Raw genomic sequence first — 27,393 nt, forward strand, 5'->3', positions numbered from 1 at the left:
ACTGCTCCCTTGTAAAAGATGATACTTTGAGACCATGTGAATATCTTATTTTTCAACAGCCTTTCACTCCATGGGTTTTTGTGGAGTTTTGATTGTTTGTTTTATTTATTTATTTATATTTATTTATTGTTTTTGAGATGGAGTCTCACTCTGTCACCCAGGCTAGAGTGCAGTGGTGTGATCTTGGCTCACTGCAACCTCCGCCTCCCAGGTTCAAGCAATTTTCCTGTCTCAGCCTCCCGAGTAGGTTGGACTACAGGCATGCATCACCATGCCCAGCTAATTTTTTTGTATTTTTAGTAGATACGGGGTTTCACCATGTTGGTCAGGCTGCTCTCGAACTCCCAACCTCAAGTGATCTGCCTTTCTTGGCCTCCCAAAATGCTGGGATTACAGTTGTGAGCCACCGTACCCGGCCAATTGTTTGTTTTAAAGACAGGGTTTCACTCTGTTGCTCAGGCTAGAGTGCAGTGGCACCATCAGTTCACTGTAGCCTTGAACTCCTGGTCTCAGGCAATCCTCCCACTTCAGCCTCCCAAGTAGCTAGGACTCTAGGTGCCTGCCACCATGCAAAGCCAATTTTTATTTTTATTTTTTGTAGAGACAGGGTCTCGCTATGTTGCCTGGGCTGGTCTCAAACTCCTAGATTCAAGTGATCCTCCTGCCTTGACCTCCCAATGTGCTGGGATTACAAAGTTTATTATCCACTGATAGTCCTTGCCTGAATTGTTTATTACAAACAATGGTTACAAAATCATGATTCTTTAATTCTATTACTTCTTCTACAATTATTAGTAGGAATGCTATAAAGATGAACTTTCTCTCCTTGCCGCCTACCATTTTAGAATATCACTGTGGATTCATAGATTTTTTTCCTGAATTTTTTTTTTTTTTGGGACGGAGTCTCGCTCTGTCGCCCAGGCTGGAGTGCAGTGGCACGATCTCAGCTCACTGCAAGTTCCGCCTCCCGGGTTCAAGCGGCTCTCCTGCCTCAGCCTCTCAAGTAGCTGGGACTACAGGCGCCCGCCACCACGCCCGGCTAATTTTTTGTATTTTAGTAGAGACGGAGTTTCACCGTGTTGCCCAGGCTGGTCTCGAACACCTGAGCTCAGGCAATCCGCCTCGGCCTCCCTGTGCTGGGATTACAGGTCGTGAGCCACTGCGCTCGGCCTTTTTTTTCCTGATTTTATAATCCATTTTTGTTGTTGTTTTGCTTTGTTTGATGGAGTCTCACTCTGTCACCTGTGCTGGAGTGCAGTGGTGCGATCTCAGCTCACTGCAACCTCTGCCTCCTGGGTTCAAGTGATTCTCCTGCCTCAGCCTCCCGAGTAGCTGGGATTACAGGCACATGCCACCATGCCCAGCTAATTTTTGTATTTTTAGTAGAGACAGGGTTTCCCCATGCTGGCCAGGCTGGCCCAGAGCTCCTAAACTCAAATGATCCACCCACCTCGGTTTCCCAAAGTGCTCGGATTACAGGCGTGAGCCACTGCGCCTGGCCAGGAGCATTTTTCAAAGGAAAAAAAAAATCACCACTGGCCATACAGGACCCCCTGTGGTAGATAGCCAGTATGCTAGACTGGTGCCTTGGAGTACATTCTTTAGCACACTCCTTCCTTTATTCATCAAATATTTATCATGTGCCTAGTCCGAATCAGCCCTGCTCTAGATGCTGAAGACGCCAGAGGTGAGCATGGCAGGAAAGGTTCTTGTTCTCATTGAGTTTATGTTCTGGCTGGGGGAGCCAGGTAAGGAGACAGACAATATACAAGTAAACAAATGAGATCATTTCAAGCAGGGCGAGGTGCTGAGAAGATAACGTGGGGTGATGTGACATAGAGGAACTGTGTGAGGCTGCTTTAAATTAAGCAATGGTCAGGTGAGACCTCTGGACCAGGTGACAATTGAGCCAACAGCTCGATGTTATAAACTGGGGCACAGTGCTCCTGAGGTGCAGCCCAGGCCAGGCGAGAGGCAGGGCCACTTGTACAGGCTCCACACTCAGAAGAGCCCTTCGCTTGGTTTCATGCTCTGCCACAGCCATCTTGAAATTCTTAGTAATTTTTGTTTGTTTGTTTTTTGAGACAGAGTCTCACTCTGTTGCTCAGGGTGGAGTACAGTGGTGCGATCTTGGCTCACTGTAACCTCCGCCTCCTGGGTTCAAGCAATTCTCCCACCTCAGCCTTCCAAGTAGCTGGGACTACAGGCACACACTGCCACATCCGGCTAATTTTTGTATTTTTAGTAGAGATGGGGTTTCACCGTGTTGGCCAGTCTGGTATCAAACTCCTAACCTCAAGTTATCTACCCACGTCGGCCTCCCAAAGTATTAGGATTATAGGCGTGAGCCACCGCGCCCAGCCGAAATTCTTACTAATTTTTGATGGAGGGTCCCACAACTTCTTTTTCACTGGGCCCCACATATTACGTTGCCAGTCCTGGTTAGAGACACTGCAAGAAGGGGCTGGGGGAGAATATTTCGAGGTGAAGTGGAAAGGGAGGCAGGGGCCAGCTCACCTAGGAGGGGCTTGAAGTCACTATAAGGAGTTAGAGCTAGCCAGACCCAGCGACTCACACCTATAATCCCAGCACTTTTGGAGGCTGAGGCGGGCAGATCACTTGAGGTTAGGAGTTCAAGACCAGCCTGGCCAACATGGTGAAACTCCATCTCTACTAAAAATACAAAAAAATTAGCTGGGCGTGGTTGCGTGTGCCTGTAATCCCAGCTACTGGGGAGGCTGAGGCAGGAGAATCACTTGAACCCGGGAGGTGGAGGTTGCAGTGAGCCGAGATCGTGCCGCTGTACTCCAGCCTGGACAACAGAGCAAGACTCCATCTCAAAAAAAAAAAAAGAGAGAGAGAGAGAGAGTTAGACCTTTGACAGATTTAGAGAAGAGAAGCAATTTGATCTTATTTACATTTTCAAGAGACTCACCACTGCCTGTGTGTGGAGTATGGATTGTAAGGGTGCAAGAATGGAAGTGGGAGACCAGAGAAGATGCTGTTACAGTAATTTCCATGACAGGTGATGGACGGTGGCAACAGAAATAGAAGGTAAGTTTAAAGTATATTTTGCAGACAACTTGGCAAGAAGATAATGGATTAGATATTGAGGATGAGGAAAAGGGTAGAATTAAGAATGACTTCCAGGTTCCAGGTGTGAGGAACCAGGCTGGATTTGGAGTCATTTACTGAGATTGGTAAGGTTGAGTGGGTGGGGGACAAATTTGGTAGGGTTTCAAGAATTGCATTTTGGCCAGGCATGGTGGCTCACACCTGTAATCCCAGCACTTTGGGAGGCCGGGGCAAGGATCACCTGAGGCCAGGAGTTCAAGACCAGCCTGGGCAAAATGTTGAGACCCTCCTCTCTACAAAAAAATTTAAAAAATTGTCTGGGTATGGTGGCTCATGACTGTAATCTCAGCACTTTGGGAGAGCAAGGCAGGAGAGTTGCTTTTTGTGGAGACTCTGACTCTACATCTAGCTCACTCCTGCCCCGAATTCCTGCGCTCAAGTGATCCTCTTGCCTCAGCCTCTCTAGTAACTGGGACTACAATTGTGTGCCAACATGCTCGGCTAATGTTTTTTTTTTTTGAGACAGGATCTCACTGTCTCAAAAACTGTCTCAAGCAATGTGATCTAGAGCAGGGCTGATTCAGACTAGGCACGTGATAAATATTTGATGAGTAAAAGAAGGAATGTGCTAAAAAACACCCTCTAAGACAGCTTAGCAGCCTGGCTACCTATCACAGGGGGTCCTGCCTGGCCAGTGGTGAATTTTTTTTTCCTTTAAAAGTTAGTTGGATAAGGTGGCATGCACCGTTGGTTTCAGCTACTCAGGAGGCTGAGGTAGGAGAATTGCTTCAGACCAGGAGGTCAAGGCTGCAGTGAACCATGTTCAAGCCATTGCCCTCCAGCCTGGGTAACAGAGTGAGATCCTGTCTCAAAAAAAAAATTAGGCTGGGCGCAGTGGCTCACGCCTGTAATCCCAGCACTTTGGGAGGACGAGGTGGGCAGATCATGAGGTCAGGAGATCGAGACCAGCCTGGCTAACACAGTGAAACCTCATCTCTACTAAAAAATGGAAAAAATTAGTGGGACATGGTGGCACATGCCTGTAGTCCCAGCTACTCGGGAGGCTGAGGCAGGAGAATTGCTTAAACCTGGGAGGCAGAGGTTACAGTGAGCCGAGATCGCGCCACTGCACTCCAGCCTGGGCGACAGAGTGAGACTCCGTCTCAAAAAGAAAATTAGCCAGGCATGGGGGCACACAACTGTGGTCCCAGTTACTAGAGATGCTGAGGCAGGGGCATCACTTAAGCCCAGGAGTTGGAGGCAGCAGCGAGCTGTGATCAAGCCACTGTAATCCAACCTGGGTGACAGGGCATGACCCTGTCTCTAAAAAAAAAAAAAAATGCATTTTGGTAAATCTGAGATGTCTCTGAGTTTAAATGGATATGAAAAAATCAACTGTCTATGTGGTTCTGTGTTTAGAAGAGATTCTCAAAGTGGTAGCAGAATAACATGGGAATGTTTGAAAAATAACACTGATTATTGGGCTCCACTCCAGTCCTGCCAGTCAGAATGCCATCCTCATCCCTCAAACCATGATTCTGATGCCCATGAACATTTGAGGCAGACTGCTTCTAGAATTTCTATGAGGCAGGGTGCAGTGGCTCACGCCTGTAATCCCAGCACTTTGGGAGGCCAAGGTGGGCAGATCATGAGGTCAGAGGTTTGAGACGAGCCTGGTCAACATAGTGAAACCCTGTTTCTACTAAAAGTACAAAAATTAGCCAGGTGTGGTGGCACGCACCTGTAGTCCCAGCTACTCGGGAGGCTGAGGCAGGAGAATTGCTTGAACCCAGGAGGCGGAGGTTGCAGTGAGCCTAGACTACTGCACCATTGCACTCCAGCCTGGGTGACAGAGCAAGACTCCATCTCAAAAAAAAAAAAGAATTTCTATGAGGCCACAAGCATTTCTATGAGCCCACACCTGTAATCCCAGCAGTTTGGGAGGCCAAGGCAGGCAGATCACTTGAGCCCAGGAGTTCAAGACTAGACTGGGCAACATGGTGAAACTCCATCTCTACGAAAAACACAAAAATTGGCTGGGCGCAGTGGCTCACCCCTGTAATTCCAGCACTTTGGGAGGCTGAGGCGGGTGGATCACGAGGTCTAGAGATCCAGACCTGGCCAACATGGTGAAACCCCGTGTCTACTAAAAATAAAAAATTAGCCGGGTGTGGTGGCGCACGCCTGTAGTCCCAGCTACTCAGGAGGCTGAGGCAGGAGAATTGCTTGAAGCTGGGTGGTGGAGGTTGCAGTGAGCTGAGATGGTGCCACTGCACTCCAACCTGGCGACAGAGTGAGACTCCGTCTCAAAAAAAAAAAAAAATTATCTGGGTGTGGTGGTGACATGTGCTTGTAACCCCAGCTACTCAGGAGGCTGAGGTGGGAGGATCACTTGAGCCTGGGAGGTCAAGGCTGCAGTGAGCAAGTGGCGATCCCGCCACTGCACTCCAGTCTGGGCAACAGAGCAAGAGCCTGTCTCAAAAAAAAAAAATGTATTTCTATGAGGCAAGGGGCTGTGGCATCCACCTTCCCTCTGAAGATTCTCCAGGCTGAGAGATGAAGCAATCACCTCAAGAGACTTACTGAATATTTAAGCAGGGATTGGCCCCGGACACTTGGCACCATTCAGACTTTGGAGGAACAGACCTGATTTAGATATGATCTTCAATGTCCATGGGTCTGGTGTAGGGACAGGAAAGAGTCTGTAAGGGGTTCAGTGTGGACTGAGGTCTGACTCTCCTTGACAGGGGAAGACTGATAAGAGGTGATGAAGGTCTGAACTAGATTTTTTACTATTTTATTCTTTTAAAACGATTTTTCTACATATCAGTACAAACAATTTTACCTAAACACATTAAGTGTTATTCTATCTTCCAAACTTTTTAAAGCAGTGTTTTGTTTGTTTGTTTTTGAGACAGGGTCTTCCTCTGTCACCCAGGCTCGAGTGCAGTGGCACGATCATGGCTCACTGCAGCTTCAAACTCCTGGGCTCAAGTGGTCCTCCTACCTCAGCCTCCTGAGTAGCTGGGACTACAGGCACACGACACTATGCTCGGCTAATTTTTTTATTTTTGTTTTTTGTAGAGACAGGGTTTCACCATGTTGCTCAGGCTGGTCTCAAACTCCTGGGCTCAAGCAATCTGCCCACCTTGGCCTTCCAAAATGCTAGGATTACAGGCATTAGCCACCACACCAAACCTAGTCTTCTTCTTTTTTTTTTTTTTTTGAGACGGAGTCTCGCTTTGTCACCAGGCTGGAGTGCAGTGGCATAATCTTGGCTCACTGCAACCTCTGACTCCCATGTTCAAGCGATTCTCCTGCCTCAGCCTCCCAAGTAGCTGGGACTACAGGCGCGTGCCACCATGTCCAGCTAATTCTTGTATTTTCAGTAGAGACGGGGTTTCACCATGTTGGCCAGGATGGTCTCGATCTCTTGACATCGTGATCTGCCCGCCTCAGCCTCCCAAAGTGCTAGGATTACAGAAATGAGCCACTGCGCCTGGCCTAATCTTGTTTTTAAACTTCTTTTTTCCTCTCCTTCTCTCCCAACCAGGTAACCCATGTCCACTACCCAGTTTGTATTCATTCACTTTTTATTGCTCATATAGTCATATATATACACACATATATATGTGTACAGGAAATATAGGGGATTTGTTGTTAGTTTTCAAAAAACAGGATCACATTATTCACACTTTTTGCTTCTTGCTTTTCTTTCTCAACAATACCTCCTAAATATTCCTCCAAGACAATTGTTACAGCTCTACAGCTCCCTTCTTTTTTGTTTTTTGTTTTTGTTTTTGTTTTTGAGACGGAGTCTCGCTCTGTGGCCCAGGCTGGAGTGCAATGGTGCGATCTTGGCTCACTGCAACCTCCACCTCCCGGGTTCAAGCAATTCTCCTGCCTCAGCCTCCGGAGTAGCTGGGACTACAGGCACGCACCATCACACCCAGCTAATTTTTGTATTTTTAGTAGAGACAGGGTTTCACCATATTGGCCAGGCTGGTCTCAAACTCCTGACCTCGTGATCCGCCTGCCTCGGTCTCCCAAAGTGCTGGGATTACAGAAATGAGCCACTGTGCCTGGCCCTCAGTTCCCTTCTTTTTAAAGACTGAATAATATTTCACTGAATGGCTGTTAACCATTTATTCAACCATTCGCTGATGGGCATTTACTGTTTTCAGTGTTTTGCAACTAACTAATCCTACACTGAGCATCCTTAGACTGTACACCTATCCCTATGGATGGCTGGTTTTATTTCCATGGGATAGATTTCTAAGAGTAGGATTGCTCGGTTAGAGAGTAGATATGTGTTTCTTTGTTGTTGTTGTTGTTTGAGACAGAGTCTCTGTCGCCCAGGCTGGAGTGCAGTGGCGCAATCTCAGATCACTGCAACCTCAGCCTTCTGGGTTCAAGTGATTCCCCTGCCTCAGCCTCCCGAGTAGCTGGGATTACAGGCACATGTCCCCATGCCTGGCTAACTTTTTGTATTTTTACTAGAGACGGGGTTTCACTGTGTTAACCAGGATGGTCTGGATCTCCTGACCTCGTGATCTGCTTGCCTCGGCCTCCCAAAGTGCTGGGATTACAGGCCTGAGTCTTTTTTAATAATTGTGTTTCCATGAATCCTCTATCCATGACTTCACCATTTTTCCGTGAAGTGTTTGTCTTTTTCTTGTTAACTTGTAAGATCTTTTTGTATAGTACAGCTGTTAACTCATGGCTTGCCACCTGCATTACAACGTATTTCTAAATCTACTATTTTCCTTTTTAAAAGAAAATTTTCCTAATGCCTGTATTTATGTCCTGTTTTTCCATCCCCAAAATGTTTTAACTTTTATACAGTGAAATATTTATACCCTTTTTTTCCTGTTGTAGCTTCTCGATTTTCAATCTTGGTTAATATTTTCCCACTCTTATACATCATACATGCGGGCTTCTAGATTTTCATTAGATTTTATGCATTTAGTTTTATATTTAAATTTTTGATCCAGCTGGAGTTTATTTTTGCATATGGTATAAGATAAAGCTCTAATTTTATTTTCTTCCATTTGGAAATCCAGCTATGGTAAAATCATTTTTATTCTTTTCCCACTTAACTGAACAAACCCCTGTGTTATATATTAGAATTTCAGCCAGGCCTGGTGGCTCAAGCCTGTAATCCCAGCTCTTTGGGAGGCCAAGGAGGGTGGATCACTTGAGTCCAGGAGTTTGAGATCAGCCTGGGCAACATAGTGAAACCTTGTCTCTACAAAAAATATAAAAATATTAGCCGAGGGTGGTGGTGCAGCACCTGTAGTTCCAGCTACTAGGGAGCCTAAGGTGGGAGGATCACCTGAGGTCGGGGCTGCAGAGAGCAGAGATCACGCCACAATAAGGCAAGTCCATCCTCATTCTCTTTTTTTTTATACCTTAATTGACACTCACTATCATATATTAAAACTTTTTTTTTTTTTTAGCTGAGAATGATTAGGAGAGTGGATTGAAAGGATTTCCCTGGTCCAGAAACTGGAATTCAGTGGGGCGCCACCTTAGCACGGGACCCAAGGGGATACAGGACAGGATGGAAGGGAGGTCATTCATCATATCTTGTTTTAGGTCCTGGGGACCGAAAGAGGTCCAACTTGGAGCAGGTACATTGGTCTAAGCCTAGTTCTGTTCGGTTCCGGCTCGACCCCCAAGTACGTGAACGTGGCCCAGGGCTGCAATGGGAATGCTTGGGCAGTCACCTACTCTCCTGCCAGGGCAATGCAGTTGCCTTTAAGCCTCTACCGCCCCCTGGTGCTGTCTGACCTGGGGTTTCCAGAACCAAGCTCCCTCTCCCAGAAGCCTCCAGTTCGAGGAAGAAGGTCCCTTGGGGCCAATAGGGGTTTAAAGAAGCCGTTGGGGACAGAGGGTCTTAACCTGTACCATCGAATACCTGGTCAGACACCAGAAACTGCTTCAAACTTACTGTACTCAAATCTCTCTTATCTCCACCAACCCTTCTTATTTGCTATGATTTTGAGCTACTGGTGGGAGCTATTCCTGCCTTCCCTGATCACCTACAGAGCTGATCATCTACTGTGGAAGACAATACATCAATTCCTAAGCTATCTGATAAGTGAACAATCCAGGAGAGGTCCCCACGTGCTGCCACTGAGTAGGGGACAATCGGTTCTAGTTCTAGGGGCAGGAAAGCTCAACAGGGGCAGGACAGGGAAGGGCCGATGGAAGAGATGGGCTTGGAGACAGTCCCTGGAGAATGGCTCCAATTTGGATCATCAGGGAAAGGAGAACATACATGAAAAAGAGGGAGTGAGGAGGATGGTAGGACTTCCATTTCCTGTAATGATAGGCTAAGTTATTCAGACCAACCTTCCCATTGAAAACAAATGCAAAAGCTGGATAAAGGCTTTTTAAAAAAAAAATCCTCCTCTCCCTCTCCCTCTCCCTCTCCCCACGGTCTCCCTCTCCCTCTCTTTCCACAGTCTCCCTCTCCCTCTCTTTCCACGGTCTCCCTCTGATGCCGAGCTGAAGCTGGACGGTGCTGCTGCCATCTCGGCTCACTGCAACCTCCCTGCCTGATTCTCCTGCCTCAGCCTGCCCAGTGCCTGCGATTGCAGGCGCGCGACGCCACGCCTGACTGGTTTTCGTATTTTTTTGGTGGAGACGGGGTTTCGCTGTGTTGGCCGGGCTGGTCTCCAGCTCCTAACCGCGAGTGATCCGCCAGCCTCGGCCTCCCGAGGTGCCGGGATTGCAGACGGAGTCTCGTTCACTCAGTGCTCAATGGTGCCCAGGCTGGAGTGCAGTGGCGTGATCTTGGCTCGCTACAACCTCCACCTCCCAGCAGCCTGCCTTGGCCTCCCAAAGTGCCGAGATTGCAGCCTCTGCCTGGCCGCCACCCCGTCTGGGAAGTGAGGAGCGTCTCCGCCTGGCCGCCCATCATCTGGGATGTGAGGAGCCCCTCTGCCTGGCTGCCCAGTCTGGAGAGTGAGGAGCGTCTCTGCCCGGCCGCCATCCCATCTAGGAAGTGAGGAGCGCCTCTTCCCGGCCGCCATCACATCTGGGAAGTGAGGAGCATCTCTGCCCGGCCACCCATGGTCTGAGAAGTGAGGAGACCCTCTGCCTGGCAACCGCCCCGTCTGAGAAGTGAGGAGTCCCTCCACCCGGCAGCCGCCCCGTCTGAGAAGTGAGGAGCCCCTCCGCCCAGCAGCCACCCCGTCTGGGAAGTGAGGAGCGTCTCTGCCCAGCAGCCACCTCGTCCGGGAGGGAGGTGGGGGGATCAGCCCCCCGCCCAGCCAGCCGCCCCGTCCGGGAAGTGAGGGGCGCCTCTGCCCGGCCGCCCCTACTGGGAAGTGAGGAGCCCCTCTGCCCGGCCAGCCGCTCCGTCCGGGAGGGAGGTGGGGGGGTCAGCCCCCCGCCCGGCCAGCCGCCCCGTCCGGGAGGTGAGGGGCGCCTCTGCCCGGCCGCCCCTACTGGGAAGTGAGGAGCCCCTCTGCCCGGCCAGCCGCCCCGTCCGGGAGGGAGGTGGGGGGGTCAGCCCCCTGCCCGGCCAGCCGCCCCGTCCGGGAGGGAGGTGGGGGGGTCAGCCCCCCGCCCGGCCAGCCGCCCCGTCTGGGACATGAGGGGCGCCTCTGCCCGGCCGCCCCTACTGGGAAGTGAGGAGTCCCTCTGCCCGGCCACCACCCCGTCCGGGAGGTGTACCCAACAGCTCATTGAGAACGGGCCATGATGACAATGGCAGTTTTGTGGAATAGAAAGGGGAAAGGTGGGGAAAAGACTGAGAAATCGGGTGGTTGCTGTGTCTGTGTAGAAAGAGGTAGACATGGGAGACTTTTCATTTTGTTCTGTACTAAGAAAAATTCTTCTGCCTTGGGATCCTGTTGATCTGTGACCTTACCCCCAACCCTGTGCTCTCTGAAACATGTGCTGTATCCACTCAGGGTTGAATGGATTAAGGGCGGTGCAAGATGTGCTTTGTTAAACAGATGCTTGAAGGCAGCATGCTCCTTAAGAGTCATCACCACTCCCTAATCTCAAGTACCCAGGGACACAAACACTGTGGAAGGCCGCAGGGTCCTCTGCCTAGGAAAACCAGAGACCTTTGTTCACTTGTTTTTCTGCTGACGTTCCCTCCACTATTGTCCTGTGACCCTGCCAAATCCCCCTCTGCGAGAAACACCCAAGAATGATCAATTAAAAAAAAAAAATCCTTAGCAATATTACAGATATTTGACAAGAGAGATGAATTTCCAGGCCAAAACTTAAAGGAAAGTGGGATCCCAGAGAGGCATTGGAAGACAGAGCAGAAGAAATTACCCAGAATGCAGAAAAGGGACAAAAAGAAGAGTTTGAGACACATGGAGGATACAATGAAAGAATCTAATATCGTTTAATCAGAATTCTAGAAGGAAAAAAAAAAAAAGAAGCCAGGCATGGTGGTGCATGCATACCTTTCATCCCACTATGTGAGTATTGCTTGAGCCAGGATTTTGAACCCAGCCTGGGCAAAACAGCAAGACCCCATTTTATTTTATTTAAAATACTTTTTTTTTAAAGGAAAGAACAAGAGAATGTGGCAAGGTGAAGATTTGAAAAGATAATGGCTGAGAATTTCCCAATTCTGATGGAGCATCAATCCACAAGTTCTGGAAGCGTGAAGAATTCTAAGCAGGATAAATAAAATAGAATCTACATGCAGATACATCACAATGAAATGTCAGAATTCTGAATACAGAAAGAAAAAAAATTTTATTTTGAGAGAAAGTCTCACTCCATCACCCAGGTTGGAGTGCAGTGGCGTGATCTCAGCTCATGATCTCAGCTCACTGCAACCTCTGCCTTCAGGTTCAAGAGATTCTCCTGCCTCAGCATCCCGAGTAGCTGGGATTACAGGTGCCCACCACCACATCCAGCTAATTTTTGTATTTTTAGTAGTCACGGGGTTTCACTGTGTTGGCCAGGCTGGTCTTGACTCCTGACCTCGAGTGATCTACCCACCATGGCCTCCCAAAGTGCTAGGTGGCATGAGCCACTGCGCCTGGCCTGAATATAGAAAGAAAATCTTAAGAGCAGCCTTCTCAACAACAGCAATAATGGAAGCCATAAGCCAGTAGAATGATATCTTGAACATACTGAAAGAAAATAACTTCCAACCTAGAATTCAAGAGTAAATGTTCTTTTCTTTTCTTTCTTTCTTTTTTATTTTGAGATGGAGTCTTTCTCTGTCACCCAAGCTGGAGTGCAATGACATGATCTCAGCTCACCGTAACCTCTGCCTCCCGGGTTCAAGTGGGGCAGCCTACTCCTGCCCCAGCCTCCCAAGTAGCTGGGATTACAGGCACCCACCACCACGCCCAGCTAATTTTTGTAGAGACGGAGTTTCACCATGTTGATCAGTCTGGTCTCGAACTCCTGACCCTCAGGTGATCCACCTGCCTCGGCCTCCCAAAGTGCTGTTATTACAGGTGTGAGCCACCACACCCAGCCAAGACTGAATTTTCAAACAAGTAAAAACTAAAACAGTTTGCTATCAGCCTCACTGAAGTGCCTCATGAAAAAAATTCTAAAGGATGCAATTCAGGCAGAAGGAAAGGGATCCCAGATGGAAGGTCTGAGATGCAAGAAGGGATGAGGATTTGTACACAAATGTTCATGGCAGTATGATTCATAATAGCCAAAAAGTGGAAGCAACTCAATGTCCATCAACAGATGAATGGATAAACAAAATGTGGTATATCCATACAACGGAATATTATACAGCCATAAAGAGGAATGAAGTGTTGATACATGTTATGACATGGATGGACTTTGAAAACATTATATTAAGTGAAAGAATCCAGACACAAAAGGCCACATATTACATGTTCCATTTATGTGAAATGTCCAGAGTAGGCAAATCCACAGAAACAGAAGGTACACTTGTGGTTGCCAGAGAGGGGGGGAGGAGGGAGGAATGGCAAATAATAGGTACAGGATTTCTTTTGAGAGTGATAAAAATGTTACGGAATTAGATAGTGGTAATGGTTGTACAACCTTGTCAATATACTAAAAGCCACTGAATCGTACACTTCAAATGGTGAATATTATTATTATTATTATTATTATTATTATTATTATTTTGAGATGGAGTCTTGCTCTGTTGCCCAGGCTGGAGTACAGTGGTGTGATCTCAGCTCAATGCAAGCTCTGCCTCTGGGTTCAAGCAATTCTACTGCATCAGCCTCCCAAGTAGCTGGTGAGAGGTGACAGCGTGCTGGCCGTCCTCACAGCCCTCGCTTGCTCTCGGCGCCTCCTCTGCCTGGGCTCCCACTTTGGCGGCACTTGAGGAGCCCTTCAGCCCACCGCTGCACTGTGGGAGCCCCTTTCTGGGCTGGCCAAGGCCAGAGCCAGTTCCCTCAGCTTGCAGGGAGGTGTGGAGGGAGAGGCGCGAGCGGGAACCGGGGCTGGGTGCCGTGCTTGCAGGCCAGCTGGATGTCCGGGTGGGCGTGGGCTTGGTGGGCCCTGCACTCGGAGCAGCCGGCCGGCCCTGCCGGCCCTGCCGGCCCGGGGCAATGAGGGGTTTAGCACCCGGGCCAGCGGCTACGGAGGCTGTACTTGGTCCCCAAGCAGTGCCAGCTCACCGGCCCTGGGCTCGATTTCTCACCCGGCCTTAGCTGCCTTCCCGCGGGGCAGGGCTCGGGACCTGCAGCCCACCATGTCTGAGCCTCCCACCCCCTCCATGGGCTCCTGTGCGCCCGAGCCTCCCCGACGAGTGCCACTCCCTGCTCCACCATGCCCAGTCCCATCGACCACCCAAGGGCTGACGAGTGGGAGCGCACGGCGCGGGACTGGCAGGCAGCTCCACCTGCAGCCCCGGTGCAGGATCCACTGGGTGAAGCTAGCTGGGCTCCTGAGTCTGGTGGGGACGTGGAGAATCTTTACGTCTAGCTCAGGGATTGTAAATACACCAATCGGCACTCTGTATCTAGCTCAAGGTTTGTAAGCACACCAATCAGCACCCTGTGTCTAGCTCAGGGTTTGTGAGTGCACCAGTTGACACTCTGTATCTAGCTGCTCTGGTGGGGCCTTGGAGAACCTTTGTGTCATACTCCGTATCTAACTAATCTGATAGGGACGTGGAGAACCTTTGTATCTAGCTCAGGGATTGTAAACGCACCAATCAGTGCCCTGTCAAAACAGACCACTCAGCTCTACCAATCAGCAGGACATGGGTGGGGCCAGATAAGAGAATAAAAGCAGGCTGCCCGAGCCAAGAGTGGCAACCCACTTGGGTCCTGTTCCACACTGTGGAAGCTTTGTTCTTTTGATTTTTGCAATAAATCTTGCTACTGCTCACTCTTTGGGTCCACACTGCTTTTATGAGCTGTAACACTCACTGCAAAGGTCTGCAGCTTCACTCCTGAAGCCAGCGAGACCACGAGCCCACCGGGAGGAACGAACAACCCAGACGCGCTGCCTTAAGAGCTGTAACACTCACCGGGAAGGTCTGCAGCTTCACTCCTGAGCCAGCGAGACCACAAACCCACCAGAAGGAAGAAACTCCTAACACATCCGAACATCAGAAGGAACAAACTCCAGACGTGCCACCTTAAGAGCTGTAACACTCACCGTGAGGGTCCGCGGCTTCATTCTTGAAGTCAGTGAGACCAAGAACCCACCAATTCCAGACACACTGGGATTACAGGTGTCCACCACTATGCCCAGCTAATTTTTTTTTTTTTTTTTTGTATTTTTAGTAGAGACAAGGTTTCACTTTGTTGGCCAGGCTGGTCTCGAACTCCTGATCTCAAGTAATCCTCCCACCTTGGCCTCTCCGTGCTGGGATTACAGGTGTAAGCCACCATGCCCAGCCTAAAATGGTGAATTACATCACAATAAAAAAAATAATTTTAAGGCCGGGCATGGTGGTCACACCTGTAATCCCAGCACTTTGGGAGGCCAAGGCGGGGGGATCATGAGGTCAAGAGATTGAGACCATCCTGGCCAACATGGTGAAACTCCATCTCTACTAAAAATACAAAAATTAGCTGGGCCTGGTGGCGCACACCTGTAGTCCAAGTTACTCGGGAGGCTGAGGCAGGAGAATCACTTGAACCTGGGAGGCAGAGGTTGCAGTGAGCTAAGATTGCGCCACTGCACTCCAGCCTGGTGACAGAGTGAGACTCCGTCTCAAAATAATAATAACCATAATAATAATTTTAAAAAGAAATGAAGAGTACAGATATGTAGATGAATCTAAACAAGTACTGACTACATAAACAGTAGTAATGGTGTCCAGTGAGGTTAAAAAAAGAATGTACAACATAAATGATGTAATGAAGTTAGTGTTCTAGGATCCAAGAGGAAGGTAAGTAAAGGAAGTAAGCGAACTTTAAACCTCACCTATCTGTGACAGTGGAACCTAGGAAAGGCTGAGTTGTCTAAGGAGTGTGGGAGAGAGCCAGGAACCTCAGCACACACCTGAGTCAGCATAAGGAAGTGCAACCAGCAGGGAACAGGACAGGGGCCTCTTCCAGCAGGGCCATTAACAGGCCACCGGTTTTACCACCACCGTGACCCTAGGCCTCTTCCTAAGCTCCCTGAACCTTAGCTTCTGTGGTGGACAGATGTTTCTACCTTCTGGCATTCACCACCATCATGAAATCCCCTCCCTTGATTGTGGGTGGGACCCATGACTTGCTGCTTTTTTTTTTTTTTTTTTGTTAAAAAGAGATGGGGGGTCTCACTATTTTGCCCAGGCTAGTCTTGAACTCCTGAACTCCTGAGTTCAAGCGGTCCTCCTGTCTCCGCCTCCCAAGTAACTGGGATTATAGGCACATGCCGCCACTGTGCCTGGCTCCATGACTTGCTTCTAACCAATAGAATATGGCAAAAGGGATGAGATGTCACTCGATTTCATTACATTTTATAAGACTCCTTGCTGGCCAACTCACTCTAGAGACTCTCCTTGCTGGCTTAGTGAAGCGAGCAGCCAGGTTGGGTGTGATGGTTAGTTTCATGCATCAACCTGGCTAGGCTGTAGGTCCCAATTATTCTATCAAACACTAATCTAGGTGTTGCTGTGATGGTATTTTATAGATGTGGTTAATAGCCACAATCAGTTGACCATAAATAAAGATTATTTTCAACAGGCTGGGTGCAGTGGCTCACACTTGTAATCTCAGCTGGGAGCCGAGGTGGGAGGATGCCTTGAGCGCAGGAGTTCAAGACCAGCCTGGGCAACACGGCAAAACCTCATCTCTGCAAAAAATACAAAAGTTAGCTAAATGTGGTGGTGTGCACCTGTAGTCCCAGCTACTCAGGAGGCTGAGGCAGGAGGATCAATTAAGCCCAGGAGGTCAAGGCTGCAGTGAGCCGTGATCACACCAATGCATTCCAGCCTGGGTAACAGAACGAGACTCTGTCTCAAAAAAAAAAAAAAAAAAAGATTATTCTCGACTACGGGGATGGGCCTCATCCAATCAGTTGAAAGGACTAAAGAACAAAACTAAAGCTTCCCTAAGAAAGGGAAGAGGAAGTTCTGCCACAAGACTCCAGCATCAGCTCCTGCCTGAGAGTTTCCAGTCTGCCAGTCTCCTGTGGATTTCAGACTTGCGGGCCCCTACAGTTGCATAAGCCAGTTCCTTGGAATAAATGTCTTGCTGTGTTTGTATGTTTGCATCCTACTGTTTCTCTGAAGGACCCCGACTGATACCTTGGGAAAGCCCACGTGGAAAGGATTCACTTTCAGTTAACACCCAGCAAGAAGCTGGAACCCTTGGTCCTGTACCCATGAGGAAATGAATTCTGCCAACAACTTGAATGAATTTGGAAGCACATTTTCCAGTCAAAGCTCCAGATGAGACCATGGTCTAGCCAACACCTTGAATGCAGCCTCACAAGTCCTTGGGTGGAGAACCCAGCTAAGCCATGCCTGGACACTTCTCCATTAGTCAAAGAAGGAAAATAATAATAGTCGTCTCACAGGGCCATTCTTGGGCTTAAGTGAGACAATCCAACAGTGTGCTCGGCACAGTGCATGCCACATATCTAGTTCCTGACAGGGTGCAGGACACAGTACCCCAAAACATGGTACCTTGGCGATCACTCTTCTAGGTCCAAGCGATCCTCCCACCTCAGCCTCCAGAGGTCACACTGACCTTCTCTGGCCTTTCTGTGTGAGCACTATCTATAAAATAATTCTCTGACCTATCTCCTCTGAAATTAGGTCATAAGACCCACATGCGACAGATGTTCTGCACCATACCTGGGGAATGGTGGGGGAGGAGGTTGAAGGAAAGTCATATAGAGGCACACGCACACAAAAAGAACCTGAAAAGCTGGGCACGGTGGCTCATGCCTGTAATCCCAGCACTTTGGGAGGCTGAGGTGGGCAGATCATGAGGTCAGGAGTTGAAGACCAGCCTGGGCATCATGGTAAAACCCCGTCTCTACTTAAAATACAGAAATTAGCTGGGTGTGGTGGCGGGTGCTTGTAATCCCAGCTACTCAGGAGGCTGAGGCAAGAGAATTGCTTCAACCCGGGAGGTGGAGGTTGCAGTGAGCCGAGATCACGCCACTGCACTCCAGCCTGGGTGACAGAGCAAGACTCCGTCTCGGGAAAAAAAAAAAAAAGAACCTGAAAAGATAGGTCTTCCTGAGTTCTCTCCCAGTTTATTTCCATCAGATCATACCCCTTTTCCTCTAATCATGTTTTTCCACAGCTATCCATTTCTTTCTTCAGACTCAGCATAAAAATATACTATTTTCCCTAGGTCTTTGGTCTTCATTTCTGAAGCCTCCTATATCACATAAGACTTTGGTTAAGTAAATTTGTTATGCTTTTATTTTGTTAATCTGTCTTTTATTATAGTGGTGTCAGCTATGAACCTTGTGATGGGTGAAGAAAAGAGATGGCTTTTTCTCCCCGACATGCATGACAAACCAATAAATGTCAACCCTGACTTTTTTTTTGAGATGGAGGCTTGCTCTGTCACCCAGGCTGGAGTGCAGTGGTGCGATCTTGGCTCACTGCAACCTCAGCCTTCCAGGTTCCAGCAGTTCTCCTTCCTTGGCTTCCTGAGTAGCTGGGATTACAAGCACATGCCACCACGCCCAGCGAATTTTTTTGTATTTTTAGTAGAGACGGGGTTTCACCATGTTGGCCAGGCTGGTTTCGAACTCCTGACCTCAAGTGATCTGCCCGCCTTGGCCTCCCAAAGTGTTGGAATTACAGGCGTGAGCCACTGCGCCCAGCCAGCCCTGACTTAAAAAAAAAAAAAATTCTTTAAGCCAGGAGCTGTGGCTCATGCCTGTAATCTCAGCACTTTGGGAGGCTGAGGCAGGCAGATTGCTTGAGCTCAGGAGTTCGAGACCTGCCTGAACAGCATGGCAAAACCCTGTCCCTAAAAAAATACACAAATTAGCCAGGCATGGTGGCACACGCCTGTAGCTACTCGAGTGGCTAAGGCAGGAGGATTGCTTGAGCCAGGGAGGTCAAGGGTGCAGTGAGCCAAGATAATGCCACTTCACTTCAGCCTGGGCAATCAAGCAAGACCCTGTCTCAAAAAAAAAAAAAAAAATTAGCAGCGGTCTGAGAATCAGGAACAGAACTAGGAAGGTCTAGATTCATGGAGCACCCAGGACTTACCATACCTCATGTAAAGGGGAAAATGGCCTTGATTATTTCAGAGAAATAGTAGGAAGTGGTGGTTTTGTGTACACACTCTGCAGTCATACTGGCTCTTCTATGTCAGCTATGTCATGTTATGCTGGTGATTTAAATTTCTCTGTGCCTCAGTTTCCTCATCTGTAAAATAATATAAAATTGCACCTGGCACATCATAGGGCTATACAAGCATTAGCTGTTATTATTATTTGCCTCTAACCCACAGTCCTATAACTCCAAAGGATTACGAGATGAAATAAACTCAATGTAGTACACGTTCATCTACACCAACTGTGAGCAAATAAAGATGAACCAATAGGTGGCTACACTTCAAGACTTGCTCATTTTCTATAAACTTCCTATACTTGTTAAGGGATTCCAATCGTGTGATCCTCCTAGGGGTGCTTGGGAATGGGAAGGACCCTATCTGGCACAGACCTTTTCCCGCACATTTTGTCACCTGCTCCCACTCGTGCTGCTGCCCCAGGTCCCCATGTCCAGCAGAGGGCGCTGTGGCCCTAAAATGCAATCCTCAGATGCTCCCCTCTCCCGCGAGGCCTACCGCTAGCGAGGGAGGCCACCCGCCAGAGGCAGCGGGCCTGACTCCAATCAGACCCTTTGTCCCAACCAGCCCTTTTCTCCAAGCAATGAGCTTGGAGCTCCACATCACCCGCTGCTCGCTGGCTTTTCAAACCTCACGCTGCTCCTTGAAGCGTTTTCTGCAGGCTCCAGCCCTCTAGACCTTCCTTCTTTGAACCCCAGAAGCTTCGCTGCAGCAATGAATCATCCAGGCCTTATGCTGATGTTAGTTTCCAAATTCCGTGGCAGCCCAGCTGTAAACCTCCATCTCGCCCTACAGAGAGCCTCCCGCCACCCACAGCCTGCGCCTCTTCCATCCTATTCCAACTTCTCCAGACAAAACTCACTGGCCCCACCCAGCTCTCACTTCTGCCTCAATCGGCTGGAGGGCAAAGCACTATTTTTCTCATTTAATCTTCCAGCAAACGATTGTTTGGGGCAAGAGGCCTGGCATGGTGGCTCAGGCCTGTAATCCCAGCACTTTGGGAGGCAGGAGGATGGCTTAAGCCCAAGAGTTTCAGGCCAGCCTGGGCAATGTGGTGAGACCCTCTTTTCTACAGACAACTTAAAAATTAGCCAGGCATGGTGGCATGTGCCTATAGTCTCAGCTATTAAGGAGGCTGAGGTGGGAGGACCTCTTGAGCCCAGGAGGTGGAGGTTGCCGTGAGCTGAGATCGTCCCACTGCACTTCAGCCTGGGTGATAGAATGAGAGACCCTGTCATAAATAAATAAATAAATAAATGATTGTTTTGGGCCAAGGTTAGCATCCTGCAAAGATGAAGACAGCCAACCTTTAGTGAGCACCTACTGTATGCCAGGCATTGATCTAAGTTCTTTACCTAATCCTCACAGCAATTCTATGAGAGTTGTTAGGCCTGTTTTACAGAGGAGACAGTTAAGGCACAGAGTGGTTATGGGACATGTCTAAGGTCACACAGCTAGTGATTGAGCCAGTGTTCAAACCCAAGCAGTCTGATTCCAACAATCGGGCTTTTTTTTTTTTTGAGACAGAGCCTCACTCTGTTGCCTAGGCTGGAGTGCAATGGTGCAGTCTCAGCGCACTGCAACCTCTGCCTCCCGGGTTCCAGCGATTCTCCTGCCTCAGGCTCCTGAGTAGCTGGGACTGCAGGTGCCCACCACATGCCTGGCAATTTTTTTGTATTTTTAGTAGAGACAGGGTTTCACCGTGTTGGCCAGGCTGGTCTCGAACTCCTGACCTCAGGTGATCTGCCCGCCTCAGCCTCCCAAAGTGCTGGGATTACAGGCGTAAGCCACTGCGCCCAGCCACCCCCAGCTAATTTTTGTATTTTTAGTAGAGACGGGGTTTTGCCATGTTGGCCAGGCTGGTCTCGAACTTCTGACCTCAGCTGATCCACCCACCTCGGCCTTCCAAAGTGCTGGGAGTATAGTCTGGTTTCTCTTCAGATCGTATAAATCTTTCACCTTTTACCAAAGTGCTGGGATTACAGGTGTGAGTCACCATGCCTGGCCAAACAACTGGGCTTTTTAAACAAGACATTATCTGGACTTAATGTAAGTATAGACACAGGGCTCCATCCCTGTTCTCTAGAACTGTGCTAATATACTACCCACCAGCCACATGACTGTAGAGCACAGGACTAATCCAAGTTGAGATGTGCTGAAAGTGCAAAATACACACTGAATTCTAAGGACTTTTTGAAAAAAATGTAAAATATAGCATTAACAACTTTTATATTGATTACACGTGGAAATGATAGTATTTTGGATCTATTGGGTTAAATAAGATATATTATTAAAATTAATTTTAGCCAGACACGATGGCTCATGCCTGTAATCCCAACACTTCGGGAGGCCAAGCGGGCGGATCGCTTAAACTCAGGAGTTCGAGACCAGCCGGTGCAACATGGTGAAACCCTGTGTCTACAAAAAATACAAAAATTAGCTGGGCATGGTGGCACACACCTGCAATCCCAGCTACTTGTGGGGACTGAGGGCGGGGGAGGATCGCCTGAGTCCAGGAGGTTGAGGCTGCAGTGAACTGTGTTCACACCACTCCACTCCAGCTTGGGTGACAAAGTGAGACCCTGTCTCAAAAAATTAATTTTCCCATAGCTCACAGTAGCCTCAAACTCCTGGGCTCAATCTATCCTCCTGCCTCAGACTCCTCAGTCATTGGGACTAGGACTACAGGTATGCATCACTGTACCCAGCTAACTTTTATGTAGGTTTTTGTTTGTTTTTAACAGGTGAGATCTCACTATGTTGCCCAGGCTGGATAGAACATTTTAAATGGCATCTGTGACTTCCATCTTATTTCTGTGGGGCAGAGCTGCTCTGGGAACTCTCAGCTCAGTGGAAGACAGACAGGATCATTTGAATATTCTAAAGCAGGGGAACATGTGGTCTGTGTTTTAAGAAGTGAGAACAACTTGGTGTAGGAACCTCAGAGGCGGGAACTCCTGAGGGAGAGAGTTTCAGGGAAGCTGTCTCAGCGGATTCCAGGTTCCAGCTGTATTTCTAAAGATTTGTGGGACTCTGCCCTGGGGAGAAGAGCAGAGGGAAACACGAAGGCCAAAACAGCAAAGGCCAGGGAGGCAAGGCCAGCCAGCAGTGGGGCTGGGTGCCCAGTGCTCCTGGGTGAGTGGAGGGAGACAAGGCCTGCTGACCACAAACTGTGAGGGCCTTGACTGTGGGGCCAGACAGAGGGGCTGTCAGCCAGATGGAGCTCCAGACACCTTAGGCTAGGGAGGGTCTGGACCTGGACAGACTACAGAAATTGGTGAGCAGGAATGGGAGGTGGCAGTGAGTGGCAGGGCCCCTGGCTCATTCTCCCTCTGTCCTCATTTCCTTGCTCTGGAGGGGAGGGTGGTGAACAATCTTCTCAGAGGAGGTTAGCTGTGGGAGGACAGCTCCTAAGGAGCATTTCCTGCCTTTGGCTCACAACTGCTTCCTGTCCAGACCTCCCAACACTTGACCCCCATTCAATTCCTTCCTCCCAGGGCAGCTGGGTGGCCACGAGGTCTTCACAGGTCCAGAGACCCGGAGCTTCTCAGCAAGCTGAATGAGGCAGCGTCCCAGGGGTCCAGAAGCCCAGCCTCGCCCGGCGCTGGTGAGGAACTGGAATCCAGGCTTGTACTGAAAGCCTCAGGGATAGATTTGGAGGAGGAAGCCCGAGATGGCGCCTCTCTCCCACCGGCTAGGACCTCAGTTCCCACTTTCCTAGTTACCTCTTCCACCCCCTCACCTCCAGCTGGGAACTTACATCCCTTCTTTCATTTATAGGGCACTTTTAGGCTGGGTGCAGTGGTTCACGCCTGTAATCCTAGCACTTTGGGAGGCCAAGGCAGGCGGATTGCTTGAGCTCAGGAGTTCGAGGCCAGTCTGGGCAACATAGTGAGACCTCGTCTCTATTTTTTTAAATGAAATATAAATATTTTAAAAATTAAAAATTCAAAAAAATGAAAAACAAATGGCACTTTTTCTTCCCAAACAATGGCTGGGGACTTCTGAAGGGAAAGGGAGGCAAATTCCCTAGGAAATAATCATGAGTGATTACTTCTCCAGAAACACCTGAGGCCTCCAATGAACCCCTTCTTTGAGAGTCAATCTGCAGTTTTCTCCCTGGTTCTGAGATGTCAGGCCAGGTTCCAAAGATGTGAGGTTTTTTTTTTTTTTTTTGAGACGGAGTCTCGCTCTGTCGCCCAGCCTCGAGTGCAGTGGCGCGATCTCAGCTCACTGCAAGCTCTGCCTCCCGGGTTCATACCATTCTCCTGCCTCAGCCTCCTGAGTAGCTGGGACTACAGGTGCCCAACACCATGCCCGGCTAATTTCTTTGTATTTTTAGTAGAGTCGGGGTTTCACCATGTTAGCCAGGATGGTCTCGATCTCCTGACCTCGTGATCCACCCGCCTCGGCCTCCCAAAGTGCTGGGATTACAGGCGTGAGCCACCACGCCAGCCTAAGATGTGAGTTTTGAGAGCCCATCACAGGTTGTTAAAAGTGTGTCTGGAGTTGGTTCCTTCCCATGGGTTCTTGGTCTTACAGGCTTCTTGGGTTCTTGGTCTCACAGACTTCAAGAATGAAGCCGTGGACCTTCGCAGTGAGTGTCACAGCTCTTCAAGATGGCATGGACCCAAAGAGTGAGCAGCAGCAAGATTTATTGGGAAAAGCGAAAGAACAAAGCTTCCAAAGCAGGGAAGGGGACCCAAGCGGGTTGGGTCTCCTGGCTGGGAGTGGGGGTGGGGATGGGGGGAGTGGCCAGCTTTTATTCCTTTATTTGTCCCTGCCCACATCCTGCTGATTGGTCCATTTTACAGAGTGCTGATTGGTCTATTTTACAGAGTGCTGATTGCTGCATTCACAATCCTGTAGCTAGACACAGAGCACTGATTGGTGCGTTTTTACAGAGTGCTGATTGGTGCATTTACAATCCTTTAGCTAGCCAAGAAATTCTCCAAGCCCCCACTCCACCCAGAAAGTCCAGCTAGCTTCACCTCTCAAAAGGAGCCAGATCTTTCTCCTTTATCTCTTAAACCTAAGCCATGCCTGCCCACCCCCTAGTGCAGGGTACACTACAATACTTAAAATGGGGAGAGGACTACCCCAAATAACCCAGCCCATCTCAGCTCAACCATGAGCCTCTGCTATGCCTCTAAATCAGTCCTGCCCTCTTCCTTCCATAAATCCTAGAGACCCCTAGGAGATGCCCCTCACCAGCAGCATACCAGCCAGGAATCCCTGAGTCCTCCATAAAAGCCACACTTGGAGCTGAGATGACCCTAGGGGAGGGGGCTTAGTCCCTCTGCCTTGCTCTGCCCCTTAACCACCAGGTAGACCACAAGTGTTTGTTGCACATCATACCCCACTCCCCACAGACCCCCACTTAAGGCCAGGGCAGAATTAAAGGATGGAATTGCTGAAAGAAGGGGTCTTCTCCCCCAGGGATGCTTGGTCTCAGTCCACAGGGAAAGGAAGGTCCTACGGGTGTGGGGAGTGCAGGCCTGGCTGGTCCCCTGCTCTCTGCCAGCTCTAGAGCACCCGCTGTACCGGGGGCTCCCCTTGGTGGGGTCAGGAAAAGTCCACGGGAGACTTGGGGGAGTGGAGGGGAGGGCCCTGGGGAAAATTAATGTGGATCAAGGGCTTGAAGACGTTCCTGACTCTCCCTCCCCTCCCCTACCCCCACCCCCACGCCCGCCTCAGGTGGACCAAATACTGAGGAGTGGATTTGTGTGAGCCTAAACACAAGAGCTCTGGGGTTCTATTTCCTCTTAGTCATTTTCCAAAGCTGCACCACCCTACCACTGCCTGGCTGGTGTGGCATCAGAGGGCTCTAGGTCCCCAGCCCTGCAGAGAAGCCCTTCTGAATGAAGGAGAGGCCCACCAGCCTGGGGAGAAGAGGTGAGTCCCCGACTCCCTCCGAGACAGAGCCTCCTCCCCTTCTCAAGCACCCCGAATCTCTGCACCACCAATTCACCCTCAGATCTGTTTCTTTCTTTTTTTGTTTTGTTTTTTGTTTTGTTTTGTTTTGTTTTGTTTCCCCCGTCGCCCAGGCTGGAGTGCAGTGGCACGATCTCGGCTCATTACAACCTCTGCCTTCCAGGTTCAAGCGATTCTCCTGCCTCAGCCTCCCAAGTAGCTGGGATTACAGGTGTGCGCCACCATGCCTGGCTAATTTTTGTATTTTTAGTAGAGACGGGGTTTCACCGTGTTGGCCAGGCTGGTCTCGAACTCCTGACCTCATGATCCGCCCGCTTCGGCCTCCCCAAGTGCTGGGATTACAGGCGTGAGCCCCAGGTCTCTTTCTTAAAATGTCTTTTCCCTCTATCTTTCCCCTCCCAGTGATCCAAAAGCTACGCCTGATTTGGAGAGGGGGTGGCAAGTGGGAAAGGAGGAGGGAAGGGGCAGTGTGGATCGAGGAGGGGGTCACCCCCACCCTGACCCTGAGCACCCTAGGTTTGGCCCCTCTGGGTGCCTCCCTCTTTGGAGAACTCAGGAAGCCGATGAGCTAGTTTGCGAGCTGGGGGTGGGGCAGTGAGGAGACTGGGGAGGAGGGAGGAGAGGGGAGAGTGATGGGAGCCGCGGCTGGGAGGCTTCGGAAGGTTGAAGGCTGGGTTTGGGAGGTGAGGGCGAGCGTCCCTCTCAGCCCCGTGGGGGGATATGCAAAGAATTGCTAATTGCAACTAAACGAGGCCTCGGCGTGGGGGAAGGGGCAGTCTTGCGGCTGTCAGGGGCTACCGCCTCTTTGAGTGCCCGGGTAAGGCCAGGCCAGCCCGCTCTTCTCATGTAAAGCAGCTTTTTGTCTGGGGGAGCCAGGGCTGGGGCCAGGGGCTGGGGAAGGGGCCCAAGCCATCAGCAAGTTTCTTGTTCCCCAGAAAGGGAGAAGGGTGCCGAGGCCTCCTCAGAGTGAGAATGCCCCCCTCCTTCTCCACTCTCAAGCTTTTTATGTGGGGGTTGATGGGGTGCTGCCCAGCAGGAGGGGGTGGGCCTGGGATCCCAGTACCCCCCTTGCTGGACTGTGGGAAAAAAAAGAGCACAAAGAAGGGGGCTGGCCCCGCTGAGATGGGAGACGGGGCAGCTCTGATCCACGGATGCCCTGAGGCTGAAGTACCCATCCCTGGATCCCCTTCTAGAGAATGTCCCCATTGGCCATGTATCTTATCTGGTCATCTGGGCCCATTTCAGACTTTCTCACCCACTTTGCAAACCCTCCCTAACCTTTGTACTCTGAGGAGATGGATTTTGTGAATCCAAGTTAGTTCCTAACTGAGCCTAACTAGAGGGAGAAGAAGGACTCATACCTTTGGGGAAATCTTTGCTCTAAACATAGGGACCTACGAATAATGCTTCCAGACCCTGGGGCCACATAACCTGTTAGAGACCCAAGAATCTTGCTTTCTAATTCAGATGCCCCCTTTTATGAGCTTCTATAAACTTGGGCAAATTATATCAGCTATTGAGCCTCAGTTTTCTCATCTGTAAAATGGGGACAATATCATCCTCTCAAAATCCTTGTGAAGATATGGAAAGATGCAACGCATCCCGTATGGCAGTCCCTGGTTCTCAGTGTGTCCCCTCCCCTCCCCTGGAACATCTATCAAAAGGATGGATACACACACACAAGCACTTCAGGGATAGTGATACCTCATGTCCATATCACACTTTGCAATTTCCACAATGCACGTGACATCTCTTTCTCTTTTTTCTTCTTTTTGAGACAGAATCTCACTTTGTCGCCCAGGCTGGAGTGCAGTGGCATGATCTCGGCTCACTGCGAACTCCGTCTCCTGGGTTCAAGTGATTCTCTTGCCTCAGCCTCCTGAGTAGCTAGGACTACCACCCACCACCACTCCTGGCTAATTTTTGTATTTTTAGTAGAGACGGGTTTTCACCATGTTGGCCAGGCTGGTCTCAAACTCCTGACCATCAGTGATCCACCCGCCTCAGCCTCCCAAAATGCTGGGATTACAGGCGTGAGCCACAACGCTGGGCCACATGTCATCTCTTAATGATACACTATCTAATCAATGGAACAGACTCTTCTTTTCTATATTTGGTGAAAAAAATCAAGATTCCAAGAGCTTAAGTCAGATCCCCTGACACCTCTGCCAATGCTCATCCCACTCCATGGTGTGGCCTCAGGGATCCCATCTCACAGACTAGACAAATGGAGCCCAAGGCCAGAGCAAAACCAGCCGGAGACTGTCACCGTCCAAGGTATCACCCAGGGTTTCTCAATAGCACAGCTTGTCTTAGTGGCCACCTGCACTCTTCTCCTAAATCAGTGCTTGTGTGGAAACTTTAGGACCATGTGGGTCCCCTTCTCTCAGCTCCACACTGGGGTCCTTGAGAAGCAGAGGGCTGGCTGGAGGATAGGAAGGGTTGTCCCCTCCCCTCCCAGCAGAAAACCTCTGGGATGACACCTTCACTCTGAGAGGCAGCGGGATGACACGGATAGAATCGCTGGGCAAGTCAGTTCTTTCCCTCCTCCCTTTTCCTGCTAGAAGTCCACTTCTTCATCGAGAAATGTCTCCTCCGTTCCTTCCCCCCTCTATTTTGGGGGCCCCGGGGTCTAGCTCCCCATCCCTGTGTGTCGCTCCGGCTGGATCCCCATCCTCCCAGCCCCTCG

General features: G+C 49.7%; 1 long non-coding RNA gene across 1 annotated transcript, besides 4 other annotated features; it reads left to right on the plus strand.

Moving 5' to 3' along the window:
• Positions 8,947-9,006: a silencer, noted in NCBI's record as "silent region_8595". NCBI's record gives its function as "represses an Ori minimal core promoter by ATAC-STARR-seq in GM12878 lymphoblastoid cells {active_cell/tissue: GM12878}" and the evidence as "EXISTENCE:reporter gene assay evidence [ECO:0000049][PMID:35858748]".
• Positions 18,927-19,431: an enhancer, noted in NCBI's record as "H3K27ac-H3K4me1 hESC enhancer chr17:42610782-42611286 (GRCh37/hg19 assembly coordinates)". NCBI's record gives its function as "activates a minimal SCP1, AML or CMV promoter by ChIP-STARR-seq in primed H9 embryonic stem cells {active_cell/tissue: H9 hESC(primed)}" and the evidence as "EXISTENCE:reporter gene assay evidence [ECO:0000049][PMID:30033119]".
• Positions 19,432-19,935: an enhancer, noted in NCBI's record as "H3K27ac-H3K4me1 hESC enhancer chr17:42611287-42611790 (GRCh37/hg19 assembly coordinates)". NCBI's record gives its function as "activates a minimal SCP1, AML or CMV promoter by ChIP-STARR-seq in primed H9 embryonic stem cells {active_cell/tissue: H9 hESC(primed)}" and the evidence as "EXISTENCE:reporter gene assay evidence [ECO:0000049][PMID:30033119]".
• Positions 21,753-23,370, plus strand: LOC105371791 (uncharacterized). Its single transcript, XR_934779.2, has 3 exons — positions 21,753-21,905; positions 22,268-22,377; positions 23,338-23,370. It is a non-coding gene; the product is annotated as an uncharacterized LOC105371791 (long non-coding RNA).
• Positions 25,277-26,271: an enhancer, noted in NCBI's record as "OCT4-NANOG-H3K27ac-H3K4me1 hESC enhancer chr17:42617132-42618126 (GRCh37/hg19 assembly coordinates)". NCBI's record gives its function as "activates a minimal SCP1, AML or CMV promoter by ChIP-STARR-seq in naive and primed H9 embryonic stem cells {active_cell/tissue: H9 hESC(naive and primed)}" and the evidence as "EXISTENCE:reporter gene assay evidence [ECO:0000049][PMID:30033119]".

Source organism: Homo sapiens, chromosome 17, assembly GCF_000001405.40.
Source record: "Homo sapiens chromosome 17, GRCh38.p14 Primary Assembly".
NCBI lineage: Eukaryota > Metazoa > Chordata > Mammalia > Primates > Hominidae > Homo > Homo sapiens.